Below are 15,057 nucleotides of genomic sequence, written 5' to 3'. Positions count from 1 at the left end.
CTAATGCTAGTTTCTTAACCAGTGAACCAGTATCACCTTTGTATTTGGTTGATTGATTTTCTCCCAGCTTGGTTTTATTTATGTTTTAACTCTACTTTTTCCACGCACTACTGTCAGAAGTTATTTAAAGAGAGATGCATTATTTAGGTTTGAGAGTTTTTAGGGCAATAATCATTCCATTATACTCATGGATTTCTGCCCCTTTGGGTGCAAATTATTTTATATTTGCCAAGCGCTTATTCAGGTGTTTCACCTTAACTAAAAGCTTTCTTTCCCCAGATACAGGGCTTCTCCTACAGTCATCTATACTTTTTTCTATCTCTTTGGCTCTTGTAACCCACTAGGCAAAAAGGGGCAGTTGGCATAGGACTTGACCTGTACTGCTACAACTTGACCATTTTTGGTAAGAGTAACTAATACTTATTATCAATCGTGTGCCAGGCACTGTTTAACGCTTTATATGCATCATCTCAAGTAATCTTTACAATAATCTTCTGAAGTAGGTACTTTTATTGATCAAATGTTGTCTAGAGAAGTTAAGTAACTTGTAACTTCAATGGTATACATCTAAGAAGTGAACTTATCAGGATAGGAACCTAGGCCTTCCCAACTCAGAGAAAATTTTAAACATTATCACCATCAATAGATAACTTATTCTCTTTTGACATCAGGTCATCTAATTATACTGGCCTTTCTTTAACTTTGCCACAGAGAAAGATGAAATAAAGAGAGCTGAGTCCTTTGAAAACTTTATCTTCATTCACATTCATGTTGGCCCATCCAACATGGCCTCATTGTTCTTAACTTCTTCAGCTTCAGTAACATCAGCACTCTACTTCAGTTTTTCTAGGATCTTAGTAGTAGGAGTGATTCTCTTGCTGAGATTTCACCAGCAGAACTAGTCTCTGGTTGATTTAACCTCCTCTGTGATTCTTGTTCTAACAAACATACTGTTACATAATGCTCATCACCTGGTCCTTTGACTCCCTCCCTTTTCCTCCAAGTACATAGACATGCTTTCTTGTTTCCTCATTTCATAAGGTCTCTCTCTAGGTTTGTCTGTACCCATTCTCAAACTTATTTATAATTAGGAATTTCACTGATGCCTAATACTGTTTTTTTCAGCCTCTTGTTGTATTTCTGGATAAATCCATTGTTGTGGTCTGTTTGTGCCTTTCCCCAGCTGTCACTTAGCTTGGTGATATGGAGAGTCACAGAAGTTTGCTGATTAGATACAATGCTTTCATTAATCTCTTGTTTATTCCCCATTACATTTTCAGATTTTCCACAGCATTTCCAGAACTTTAACTTAGGGCTGGCAGCTCCTGAACCAGTCATTTGGCAGAAGGATGCCATTACCATGTATTAGTTTAGACAGTTTGAAACTTGACCTCGGATCTACGGGAAAGAATATTGGAGAGTCAACCTGCAATGTGTAATGGTTGCTGTGACACTGTTTACCTTTACACAGTCCACTTTTATCAGCAGCATTACTTTGTAATTGCTTTAGAACTGGCTTTTATTCCCATATGCCCATTTGATGAAACTTACCTAGTTTATTATTCATTCACATAGCATATATTAAATTTCACTGTGCCACTTCATTTATTTCATTTTATTATAAAAGTAGTTACAAAAGTTACATGCTCATGGTAAAAAATGGGAAAGGTTATAAAATTAAAAGTAAAATTTTCTTCAACTCCGACCCAGTAGTCCAACTCTCCAGGTGTAAGTACTGTTTCGTGTGTATCCATACAGAAAATCAGAAAAATTAATGCATATGTATCATTTTTTCTTCTCTTATACTGTATCCTATAGATAATGCTCAGCATTTTTTTTCCACTTAATAACTTATCCTGGAGATTTTTTCCTATAATTTTAGATAAATGTCACCTTTTTTTAAACATTTGCACATTTCATTGTGTTGATTTACTGTGAATTATCAAGTGTCCTACAATGTACATTTAGTTATGAATTAAGTGCCCTATTAATATATAATTAGTTATGAATGAAGTGCCTTATTAATACATAGTTATTTGCAGTTTTTTGGCTGTTACAAGTAGTGCTGTAATAAACTATATCTTTGTGTTGTTCAGAATTTAATACATAGTAGGGATTGCTATGGCCCATAGTTGGGCACCTTGTTTGTAAATAAAATTGTATTGGAACACAGCCATACCCATTTGTTTGTATGTTGTCTATGGCTGCTTTCAAACTAGAGTAGATGAATGAAATGGTTGTAACACCATTTCACAATGGCTCACAAAGCTGAAAATAATTTACTGCCTGACTCTTTAAGACAAAGTTGGCTGGCCCCTCATGTGTAGTATATATTCTTAGAAATGGAATTGCTAGGTCAAAGAGTATGCATGTTTTAAATTTAAATTCTAAATAAAAGTTCAAATTTTTTTTTGCCAAATTACCATCCAAAAGGTCGACCTAATATACAATTTGACAGTATATGAGAGCATATGTTTTCATCAGTTATTTCTTACCAAGAGTAGTTTTTATCAAAGAAAAAACTTATCCAACAGGTGAAAAATGGTATCACATCATTTTGTTTTGCATTTCTCTAATTATGACAAGTTGGGTATATTTTTAGAGGTTTTCTGGGGGGTAATTTACATATTTTCTGTTGTCATTTTGTGATTTTTGCCTACTTTAAAAAATTATTCATGTTTTTCTTCCAGATTGTAAAGTTATTTTACATATAAAACAAAGTAGCTCTATTTTTGTCATGTGTTAGAGTGTTTTTCTTATTTGTATTTTATCTGTTTGTGATATTTTTTCCATATAGATATGCTAATCTTTTTCCCCTTGTTTTATTATGAAAAATATGAAGCAGAAAGTATTGAAAGAATAATATAACTGACATCCATATACTCTTTCCTTAGAAACAAGTTGTTAATATTTTGCCACATTGACTTTTTTTCTTCCACATATATACCTATCCCGCTTGAATCATTTGAAAGTAAATTGCTGACATGACACTTTAACCCTAATGCTTCAGCATGAATCTAAGAATGAGGATATTCTCCTATGTAACCAAACTACCATTATCCTACCTAAGCCAATTAGCAGTGATTCCATGGTATCATCTAATGTACAATTTGCATTCAAAATTTCATTATTTTCTTAAAGGCTAGCTTTTTTTTAAAGTCAGGATCCATTCAGACTTCACACTTTACATTTGATCTATCACTTTAGTACTAATTGAGAACTGTCTTCTCTTGTTTGTTTCTATATATATGATACTGACTTTTTAAAAACAGCTTTATTAGCAATATAGTGATATATGATAAGTTGTACATAAAGTATACAGTTTGATTAGTTTTGATGTATATAAGCCGGTGAAGCTATCATCACAGTCAAGAGAGTGTGGCTGGGTGCGGTGGCTCACGCCTGCGCTCCTAGAACTTTAGGAGGCTGAGGCCCACTGATTGCTTGAGCTCAGGAGTTCGAGACTGGTCTGGCCAACATGATGAAACCTCATCTCTACAAAAAAATGCAAAAATTAGCCAGGACTGGTGGCATGTGCCTGTAGTCCCAGCTACTTGGGAAGCTGAAGTGGGATCATCTGAGCTTGGGAAGTTGAGGCTGTAGCGAGCTGTGATCATGCCACTGCACTCTAGCCTGGGCGACAGAGTGAGACCCTGTCCAAAAAAAAAACACAAAAAAATGGTAAACATATCCATCATCATACCCCTGAGATTGATTCATACCTCTGGAATATACAAATATTTGTATATTTTTCTTGGTTATAGATTTCTAGCTTGATAGTTGTTTTTTCCTTCTGGTATTTAAAAAATGTTGCACCACTGTCTTCTCACTTGCATTGTTTCTGATGAGAAATCTGCCTTTATCCTTATCTTTTTCCCTTTCTACATAGTGTGTCCTTTTTCCTGTGGCTGCTCTTGTGCGTTTGATTGTGATGCATCTTAATATGGTTTTCTTCATGTTTCTTGTATTGGGGTTCATAGAGTTCCTTGGATGCATGGGGTTTGTAGTTTTCATCAACTTTGGAACATTTTTGGCCATTTGTTCTTCACACATATTTTCTGCCCCACTTCTCTCTTCTCATTTGAGGACTCTAGTTACATATGTGTTTGGGTGGTTGAAGCTGTCTCACAGCTTATTGATGCTCTCTTTATTTTTTAAATTATTTTTTTCTTTGTGTTTTGAATAGTTTCTATTGCTGTATCTTCAAGGTTATTAATCTTTCCTTTGGTATCTACTCTTCAGTTAATCTTCTGGTATAATTTTCATCTCACATATTTTAGTAGTAGATTTCATCTCAAGAAATTTAATTTGTATTGATAAAAATATCTTTCATAATTCTACCTTTGGAATATATAGACTACAGTTATAATTTTTAACGTCCTTGTTTTCTAATTCTAACATCTGTTTCAGCTTAGGGTTGGTTTTGACTTTTTGACTTTTGAGTATACACGTTCCCTTGGGCTTCAGAGAGGTTCAACTTTGGCCTTCAGCCTCTTCATACTCATCTGGTGATTTTATTAACTTTTACAAATTTCACCTCTTAACTTTTGAGACAAATGGCTACCAGGTATATCTCTTTTTTCTCATCCTATCACTGAAACCTTGGTCATGGTATTTCTTTTTTTTTTTTGAGACAGAGTCTCACATTGTCGCCCAGGCTGGAGTGCAGTGGTGCGATCTCAGCTCACTGCAAGCTCCGCCTCCCAGGTTCATGCCATTCTCCTGCCTCAGCCTCCCGAGTAGCTGGGACTACAGGCGCCTGCCACTACACCCGGCTAATTTTTTTTGTATTTTTAGTAGAGACGGGGTTTCACCATGTTAGCCACGATGGTCTCGATCTCCTGACCTCGTGATCCGCCCGTCTCGGCCTCCCAAAGTGCTGGCATTACAGGCGTGAGCCACCACGCCCGGCCGGTCATGGTATTTCTAATAGTCTGTTGGACATCTTTTCAGCTCATTGACAGTTCATAGTTACCCTGGGTAAAACTGAGCCAGCTCTCCTTGATTTCTTCACTTAGGTATTGATAACACTATTCTCTTACTGTCATTTTGGACCTCACCCTTATTTTAGCCTATAATCCAATCCATTGTTTTATCCTTTTACTTCTGTCTTTGAAATAGTTTTTATACCTGTCTTTTCCTGTGGCTACCACACTTTATTAATTTTGACTTTGTTATGGACTGAAATTTTATGTCCCCACAAAATTTATATGTTGAATTCCTTTTTTTTTCTTTTTTGAGACGGAGTCTCGCTCTGTCACCCAGGCTGGAGTGCAGTGGTGCGATCTTGGCTCGCTGCATCCTCCACCCCCTATGTTCAAGCAATCCTCCTGCCTCACCCTCCTGAGTAACTGGGATTACAAGCACATGCCACCATGCCTGGATAATTTTTGTATTTTTAGTAAAGACTGGGTTTCACCATGTTGGCCAGGTTGGTCTCAAACTCCTGACCTCAGGTGATCCACCCACTTTGGCCTCCCAAAGTGCTGGGATTACAGGCGTGAGCCGCTGCGCCTGGCCAAAATTCCTAACCCTCAATATAATGATATTAGGAGCTAGGCCCTTTGGGAGGCAATTAGATCATGCGGATAGAGCTCCTGTGAATAGGATTAGTGCTGTTGTACAGAGAGACATGAGAGTGGCTTCTCTTTCTGCTCTCTACCATGTGAGGATACAGTGAGAAAATGGCCATCAGCAAACGAGGAAGTGGACCTACCAGACACTGGATCTGCTGTCACCTTCATGTTGGACTTCCTGGCCTCCAGAACTGTGAGAAATAAGTGTTCGTTATTTAAGCCATTATGGTATATTTGTTATAGTAGCTCAAACTAAGGCATCTAGAGGATTACTGTCACTTTTATATTGGTCTTCTTGCCTCCAGGCTCTTTTCTTCAAGTTCATTCATTGTACACTGCTGCCTCATTTCTGTTCCTAAAGTGTAAGTCTCATCTGTCATTTCTCTTGCCCACTGTTTCAATAACTACCTCTTGCCTACAAAATACAAGTTGTTTAGCATCCTTCTATCCTTCCACATTATGGTTGCATTTTTTTTTTAATCTTAATCTCTTGCTGTTTTGTTTCTTTGTGCATTCTTTAGGAAGAATAGAGGGCAGTATCATACAATGTTTACAAGTGGAGACTCTAGAATTAGAATGTCTGGATTTGAATCTTGGCATTACAACTTAGTAAAGTATTAGGTATTTTACTTCAACTCAGCATCAGGGTTCTCAGCTGTAAGATGGGCTTCATATATAGCATATGGTAATAGGTCTGTTTATAAAGTGCTTAGCATAGTGTCTGGCATGTAGTAAAATTGCAGTAAATATTAACTATTACTGTCATTTCTTCATGGCTCTTCTAGTTCCTTGTATATATTCATGTTCCTTTTTCTGTATGGAGTTCCCCTCCTCCTTACCCTCCTATCCATTTGAAATCCTACCCCTTGTATAATATCCAGGTCAGATGCCACATTCCTCAAGTTCCCACACCATGAATTCTCATTTTTCATCAGCATTGTGTTTTTATCTTTAACTGTCTTATGTTAGTGTTTATGTACATGGTTTATTTCTTCTTGGTTTTAAGCTTGTTGAAGGCAAGGACTGTGTCTCTTACCTTCTTTGGCATCTCTTTTGGTACATGTGATAGTTGCTTAGTGTTTGTTGAATTTGTGAATGAATTGTGGTTCTACGTGACCATACTTATGAATTGTTTGACCTAGAGTGAATTGCCTGTTAAATTAACTGTCTTTAAATTATAATCTTCCTAGTTGCTGAAGTTTTTAGATTGCTAAATTACACCTTTTCAACCTTAACACAGTAATGCCACATTTTCTTTCTGGCTATTATTGCTAGTTTGTTTATGAGCATTAGTTAGAGTTCTCTGATGAAGTGTACTCATTCTGTTTAATATCAAAATAAAATTTCAGTTTGGTGTCACTTTTCTGTCATTGAATTCCTTGCAGGCCAGAAAGACAAACTATACCAGTGTACTATTATACCAGTGTACTATTATACCAGTGTATTAAACTTAGCGCCTGTTAAATGATGTTGCACAGAAATGACACCCACATTTAATGGAAGTGTTAGAGTCAGTCATTAAGTTAAAGGAATTAAATATGCTTCCAACCCAAGAAGACCTCTAGTTCTTAAGCATTAGGGCTTCAAATAATTTGCTTTTAACAAATCTCATTCCATTCAGATTCAGTTCAGGGAAGAGCAGATTAAGTTCAGTTGAGGGGACCTGAAACTTAAAAGAGGGACTGTGATTAGTTGTTGCACTACAAATTTTAAAGCTGGAGTTCTTGAAAGAAAAAAGAAAAAGAATGCTGGGAAATGGAAGAGCAAGGAGAGTTACTTCTCTCTTTTCCCTCACTAGACTGTGAGCTTTTAAAGGACAGGGACCATACGTTGCTTGTGTCTGTCTCTGAGCTCTGTCATAGTACTTCATGCAGTGAATATTTATTGAGTGGAGTTCTAAATCTAGAAAGTGAAAAATTGCATCTAACGCTATTTCCATAGTACTGTAAAGCCTCCCCACTCTGTAACGCATTACTTTGATTCATATGCCCACGGAGTAATTTCAAAAAGTCTTATATGAAAAATAAAAGAATAAATAAAACCTGTGTAGTTTTTAAGGCTTTTTTTTTTTTTTTTTTAATGGCAGCCTGGTCAACATGGTGAAACTCTGTCTCTATTAAAAGGACAAAAATTAGCCAGGCATGGTGGTGCGTGTCTGTGATCCCAGCTACACCGGAGGCTAAGGCATGAGAATTGCTTGAACCCAATAGGCAGAGGCTTCAGTGAGCCGAGATTGCATTACTGCCCTCCAATCTGGGTGACAGAGTGAGACTCCGTCTCAAAAAATAAATAAATAAATAAATAAATAAATAAATAAATAAATAAATAAAAATATAATAAGGAAGTCTCTCTTTTCTGAAAGTTCAGAGTTGTTAGACCAAGGTCCTGATACTGTTACACTTGCCATTTAAAGCCTATGGAGGTATCTCCCCTTTCTACCCCAGGACCACCTTTATAAACTGGTGATTCCATTCTCCTGGGTTTAACATCTTTTTGAGTTTTTTTTTTTTTGTATCATTGGAGGGGATGGTTTCTGTAACTGTGGGAGTGGGAAGGTAAAAAGTTTTTCCATTCTTGAAGCTGGTCCAAGACTTACGTCTTTTTGAATACTTTCTGTCTTTTATACACATTATTAAGGGAGATAATATGGAATACTTCACATTATAAGTAAATTACATATTAGGTGTTTTATAAATGATAACATTATTTAGTTTATTGTTAAAAATGGTAAAAGAATGTTATACAGGTACAAAACAGGAAAAATGCTTAAAATTTTGTGAATGTGCCCCAGAAAACTAAATAATTAGAAGTTAGTCTGCCTGCACATTGTTGATAACTTTAAATGTGGTTAGGTCCATTAGTTTAAAATTTGCCTTTTAAAAGTTAGTGGGTTTTTTTTTTAATAAATATTATTATTTATTTTTGAGATGGGATCTCACTGTGTTGCCTAGGCTGTTCTAAAACTCCTGGGCTCGAGCAGTCCTCCTACCTCAGCCTCCCAAGTAGCTGGGATTATAGGTGTGCACCACTGCACCTGGTTCCTGAAAGTTTCTTTTATTAAAAAAAAAAAATCTAACAATTGACTTGCTAATATTAAATGAATGTTTACAATAAAAAATGTTATTTGCCCCTATTGAAAATAATGTATTGAAATCAGTGTGTTCTAGGTCAGTGGCTTCAAAGACTCCAGTTGGATTCATTGGACTGGGCAACATGGGGAATCCAATGGCAAAAAATCTCATGAAACATGGCTATCCACTTATTATTTATGATGTGTTCCCTGATGCCTGCAAAGAGTTTCAAGATGCAGGTGAACAGGTAAGACCTTTTCTTTAGATTTGTTTTAGATTTTGAGAATGAAAAATGAATATACATTCAAATAAGTGACAGCTTCTTAGAAGTATACCCAATGGAGTTGTAAACCTAATTCAGTGTTAATTTTATATATATGTAATCATTCATCCAACATCCAGATTTGCAGTAAAGGAGAGTTCTCGTTAGACATTCAGGGGTATCTATTCTTTGGCAGGTGACTTGGAACATTTTGCACATTTGGTCAGAGGGCCTTGTTTTAGCTCTGTATCAGTTTTCTGAGATAGTAACTTTACTGATTGTGCTGTTAAAGTAGTTAGTTTGGTGGAAATAACCTCCTGTGTTATTAAAAGCACATATGTCTTTAAAACAAGAGTAGGCTTAGAGATATAAAGCTTAGTTTGAGTTGAAGCTCAGATACATGCTTTCTTACTGGGGGCAAGTTACATCACTTCTGCTGATTTCCTCATTCTTAAAATGTGAACGATGACAACCTATGCCATTAGGTTGTGAAGCTCAAATGAGAGAATGTATGTGAACATACTTTGAAAACATCATATGGCAGCACTTTGTGAATAATTATTAGTTATTGGCCATAAACCAGGAGACAGCCTAAAAACACTATGTCCTATAATGAAGAGTTGAGTTATAGTGGATCTCTAGTGTTTTTAGGCTATCATTCATGTTTAAAGAATTTTGGTACCAGAGTTTATCATGTTGGATGATAACATCTGCTGGTTAAGTCTTGAGTTGTTTGGATTTGTTAAACTTTATCAATAACTCAAATTACAGGAGACCATGTATCAGTATCCGAATATAGTTTGTTTTTTCTAGATATGAGGGAAATTCTTCTTGGTCAAGTTGTAGAGTGGTAACTGAGGATAGTGTGTGATCCCAGAACAGAGAATACTAAAAAATTCCTGAGAAAAAGGTGAGAAAAAAATTACACAGCCAGCTTCTAGATAATAGACTTGAAAGTAAATACTGAAAAATGCTATACCTAGTTACAGAACAGCTTTAGGTAACTTAGAAGCCATTTTCAGAACTATATATCTGAATCTTTTTCCTTTCCATGGTTTTTGTGCCATATGGAAATTGCAGCAGTATAGTGTGAGGATGGAAGTATGACTTTGGAACTTTTCAGGGTAGTGTTGTGGCTGCTTCTGCCTGTTCAGTCTCTGAATACGGATATTACACTCCCAGTATAGCAGGCTTACAGGCTTAATTAATGTAGGGACTTAGTAGCCTTGTTGGAGAGATTTGATCAGTCGTATAGTAGAGAATCTGGGAAAGGCGGCCTTTTACCATCTTCAGAGATGGTGAGCATTTCAAGTTGATATTCAGTCTGAGATGAACCAATTAGTAGTTATTTTGAGGAGACAGTTATTACTTTTTGGGATAACACATCTATTTGGTATTGCCATTTTACAGTGGTTTATCTGTTAGTAAGAGTAACAAGGGTACTTGATCTCTAAACAGAGGAAATATCTTCAATTAAAAACAGAATTTAACCAAAGAGTGGGGTAGGAATTGAATGGGGACTATTACCCTAGACTGGCAAAGCAGAAGCTTGTGACCTTTTACGTTGTTACAGACACAGGTACTCTTCCCTCTATGCCTGTAGTACTTCCAGCTTGTATGTGGAACGACTGTAATGATCATCACTGCTTTGTGACTCTCTCCTGCTTTTTCCCAGAATTCTAGAGCTTTCTGATGCTCTGCCTGAATTACCTCATACTCTGAAGTTACCAGGCTTACCTCTGTTTCCCAACAAGTTTCTTATTTCTTTAGTGTTGCTAATTTTAGGTAGGTATGAAGGAAGGCTGCCTTAAGAATAAGGCTTATCCCTGCATGAAGGAGATATTTATGTTTTGAAAGGGAGAGAAAAGAATCTAATACAGTATTTAGTGAGCACCTACTATGTGTCAGGTCTTTTGCTAAATATTTTGTATGTATTATCTCATTTTATCTTTGCAACAGAAGTGCTATCAAGAAGCCAATGCTTGGAGAAGCTAAATAATATCCCTAATGTTATATAGTGGTTCTTATTATCTGCAGTTTCACTTTCTACGATTTCAGTTACCTATGGTCAAATGTGGTCTGAAAATGTTAAGTACAAAATTCAAGAAATAAACAATTTATAAGTTTTAAATTGCATGCCGTTCTGAGTAGCATGATGAAATCTTGTGCTGTCCAGCTCTGTCCCAACCTGGATGTGAATCATCCCTTTGTCCAGCGTCTCCATGCTGCAGACACTCCCTGGCCCATTAGTCACTTACTAGCCGCCTCAGTGATCGGGTGTTGTGATATCGCGTGCTTATTTTCAGGTAACCCTTATTTTATTTCATAATGGTCCAAAGCGCAAGAGTAGTGTTGCTCGCATATTGTTATAATTGTTCTATTTTATTGTTGTTGTTAATTTCTTACTGTGACTAATTTATAAATTAAACTTTATCATAGGAGTGTATATATAAAGAAAAACTGGCTGGGCGCAGTGTCTTGTGCCTATAATCCCAGCATTTTGGGAGGCCAAGGCAGGCGGATCACCTGAGGCCAGGAGTTCAAGACCAGCCTGGCCAATGTGGCGAAACCCCGGCTCTACTAAAAATACAAAAATTAGCCAGGCGCGGTGGCGTGTGTCTGTGGTTTCAGCTACTTGGGAGGCTGAGACATGAGAATCGCTTGAGTCCAGGAGGCGGAGGTTGCAATAAGCCGAGATTGCACCACTGCAGTCCAGCCTGGATGACAGAGGGAGACTCTGTCTCAAAAAAAAAAAAAAAAAAAAAAAATGCTGGGCGTGGTTGTGTGTGCCTGTAGTCCCAGCTACTTGGGAGGCTGAGGTGGGAGGATTACTTGAGCCTAGGAGGTTGAGGCTGCAGTGAGCTGTGTGCTCCAGCCTGGGTGATGGAGTGAGACCTTGCCTTAAAAAGAAAAAAAAACAAACCAGAAAACATAGTCTATATGTTTATATAACATAGTCTGTATAGGATTTGGTACTGTCTGTGGTTTCAGGCATCCACTGGGAGTCTTGGAATGTATACCTCTCAGAGGAGGGGTTACCACTGTGTAGTGAATGAATAGCAAGAGCCAATGTCTAAACAAAGGTCTTTGACTTCGGAGTTTTGGTTCTTTTTGAAATTAATGTGAAAGACATTTTTGAGTGTGTGTATGTGACATCTGTGTTGATGATTCTGAAATGTAGCTACCTGTTAACCTATTTATAAACTAGATTGCTGGAAAATAAGGTGCCTAGATCAGTCAAGCCACTGATCATTGGTCTCCCTTGCCTTCTCTTGTGTGGTTCTGTACCCACGGAGTTACAATTTAATAATATTTATCTATTGTATGGGTTGTTTAGTGGGTTGAATAGTGGCCCACCTCCCCAACCCCCAAAGATGTCCTATAAAATTGTTAGGAGAAAACACAGAGGTAAATCTTTATGACTTTGGATTTGGCGAAGGATTCTTAGATATGACACCAAGAGCATGAGCAACAAAATGATAAATAGGTAAATTGGACTTTATCAAAATTAAAAACTTGTGCTCCAGAGAACACCATCAATAAAGTGAAAAACAATTCACAGAATGGGATAAAATATTTGCAAATCATATATCTGATAAGGAATTTGTATCTAGAATATATGAAGAAGTCTTACAACGCCAGCATAAGACAAGTAACTCAATTAAATGGGCAAAGGATTTTAATAGACATTTCTCCCAGGAAGATATATGAATGACCCAGTAAACATGTGAAAAGATGCTCAACATCATTAGGCATCGTAGAAACATAGTCAGAACAGCCGGGTGAGGTGGCTTATGCCTGTAATCCCAACAGTTTGGGAGGCCGAGGCAGGTGGATCACTTGAGGTCAGGAGTTCAAGACCAGCCTGGCCAACATGGTGAAACCCTGTCTTTACTAAAAATGCAAAAAAAATTAGCCAAGTGTGGTGGTGTGCACCTGTAATACCAGCTACTCAGGAGGCTGAGGTGGGAGAATTGCTTGAACCCAGGAGGTGGAGGTTGCAGTGAGCCGAGATTGCCACCACTGCACTCCAGCCTGGGCGACAGAGTAAGACTCTGTCTCAAAAAAAAAAAAAAAAAAAAAAAAAAATCAAAACCATGAGACACACCCACTAGAATCTAGATTAAAAAGTTAGATAACAATGTGTTTGTGAGGTTGTAGAAAAGTTGGAGCCCTCATACACTGCTAGTGGAAATGTAAAATGGTACAGCCACTTTGGGAAAGAGTTTGGGAGTTCCTCAAATAATTAAAAGTTTAGAATTATGCCATGACCCAGCAATTTCACACCTAGCTATATACCCAAGAGAAATAAAAAATTTGTATCCACACGGAAACATGTATTTAGCAACATTATTCATCATCACGAAAAAGTGGAAACAACGCAAAAATCTATCAGCGGATAGAATGTCCAAACAAAATGTGTTATATCCATACAATGATGATTATTCAGTAATAAAAAGAAATGAAGTACTAATATTTGCTGCAACATTGATAAACCTTGAAAGCATGCTGCGTGAAGGAAGCCAGTCACAAAAAACCACATACTATAGACTTTTCCTGAAAGTCCAGAATAAGGAAGTCTATATAGAGACACAAAGTAGATCAGTGGTTGCTTAGCGCTGGGGAAGAGGGAAAGTTGGGCATAGAGGAATGATAGCTAATGCGTATAAGATTTCTGATTTTTTTTTTTTTTTTAAATGGAGTCTCACTCTGTCACCAGGCTGGAGTGCAGTGGTGCGATCTTGGCCTACTGCAACCTCCACCTCCTGGGTTCGAGTGATTCTTCTGCCTCAGCCTCCCGAGTAGCTGTGACTACAGGCACGCGCCACCACGCCCAGCTAATTTTTTTTTTTTTTTTGAGATGGAGTCTTGCTCTGTCGCTCAGGCTGGAGTGCAGTGGCGCAATCTTGGCTCACTGCAACCTCCGCCTCCCAGGTTCAAGCAATTCTCCTGTCTCAGACTCCTGAGTAGCTGGGATTACAGGCACATGTCACCACGCCTGTCTAATTTTTGTATTTTTAGTAGAGATGGGGTTTCACCATACTGGCTAGACTGGTCTCGAACTCCTGACCTCAGGTGATCCACCCGCCTTGGCCTCCCAAAGTGCTGAGATTATAGGTGTGAGCCACCGTGCCCGGCCAATTTTTTGTATTTTTAGTAGAGACGGGGTTTCACCATGTTGGCCAGGATGGTCTCGATCTCTTGACCTCGTGATCTGCCCACCTCGGCCTCCCAAAGTGCTGGGATTACAGGCGTGAGCCACCATGCCTGGCCAGGTTTCTTCTTGAAAAGATTCTAAAATTGATTGTCATCATGGTTGCATATATCTGTGAATATGTTAACAGGGCCTTTGGTATACTTTAAATGGGTGAATTGTATGCGAATTATATGTCAGTGAAGCTATTAAAAAAGATATATTCAAGTTCTAACTCCTAGTACCTGTGAATGTGAGCTTTTTGGAAACAGGGTCTTTGACGATCTAAAGTTAAGATGAGATCATCGTGGATTTAGGGTGGACCCTAAAGCTAATGACAAGTGTCCTTACCAGAGACAGAAAAGAAGACACAGAGACACAGAGGGGAAGGCCATATGAAGATGGAGGCAGACATTAGAGTTATGCTGCTGCCAGCCAGAAAATATCAGGAGCCATCAGAAGCTGGAAAAGGCAAAGACAGATCCTCCCTTTGAGCCTTTGTGGGGAGTGTGTCTCTCTTGACACCTTGATTTCAGACTTCTGGCCTCCAGAGCTGTGAGAGAGTAAATTTCTGTTGTTTTAAGCGACGGTGCTTGTGGTAACTTGTTGCAGCAGCTGTGGAAAACTAATGTAGCAAACATTGGGAATCTACAAAATGTGTAGGTTTTGAATCTTTCTATACCACTTAGTATCTGTGCAATCTTGGGCAAGTTTTTCAGTGTCTCTATACGCTTGTTTCCACATGTATGAAGGATAATCATACTGTTTTCATAGACTTGTTATAGGGATTAAGTGAGTTAATTATGCATGGAGCTTAAAGTAGCATTTGGCACATATTAATCACTGTATGTTAATGTTAACTATAAATTAGTTTCTGTGTGCCTTAGTTTCACCTCTGCTGTACACAGCTGTTCCTCTTCTCATGCTGTCCATTCAACAGGTAGTATCAGATAT

At 37.8% G+C, this 15,057-nt stretch overlaps 1 protein-coding gene and 1 long non-coding RNA gene across 6 annotated transcripts in view; one reads left to right on the top strand and one right to left on the bottom strand.

The window, feature by feature from the left end:
* LOC105375211 (uncharacterized) overlaps positions 1–10,521 on the bottom strand; it is a 75,204-nt gene extending 64,683 nt beyond the window's left edge. The window contains exons 1-3 of one of the 2 annotated variants that reach the window (XR_927139.3): positions 10,437–10,521; positions 5,717–5,767; positions 1,601–1,735 (exon numbers count right to left, since the gene is read on the bottom strand). This is a non-coding gene — a long non-coding RNA (uncharacterized LOC105375211). Of the gene's footprint in view, positions 1–1,600; positions 1,736–5,716; positions 5,768–10,436 lie in introns of those variants that run through there. The other variant, XR_007060268.1, reaches the window with a different exon arrangement.
* The window catches only part of HIBADH (3-hydroxyisobutyrate dehydrogenase), a 137,442-nt gene that overhangs the window by 4,517 nt on the left and 117,868 nt on the right, over positions 1–15,057 (top strand). The window contains exon 2 of one of the 4 annotated variants that reach the window (NM_152740.4): positions 8,734–8,894. The exons of 1 other annotated variant lie outside the window; for it this stretch is intronic. In NM_152740.4, coding sequence (NP_689953.1) covers positions 8,734–8,894 — 161 coding nt within the window. Of the gene's footprint in view, positions 1–8,733; positions 8,895–9,742; positions 9,820–11,157; positions 11,216–15,057 lie in introns of those variants that run through there. 2 more of the 4 variants (XM_047419834.1, XM_047419835.1) reach the window with 2 other exon arrangements.

This window comes from Homo sapiens, chromosome 7 (genome assembly GCF_000001405.40).
Source record: "Homo sapiens chromosome 7, GRCh38.p14 Primary Assembly".
Classification (NCBI taxonomy): Eukaryota; Metazoa; Chordata; class Mammalia; order Primates; family Hominidae; genus Homo; species Homo sapiens.
Note: the sequence above shows the minus strand (reverse complement) of the source record. Positions and strands in the feature narration are given on the sequence as shown.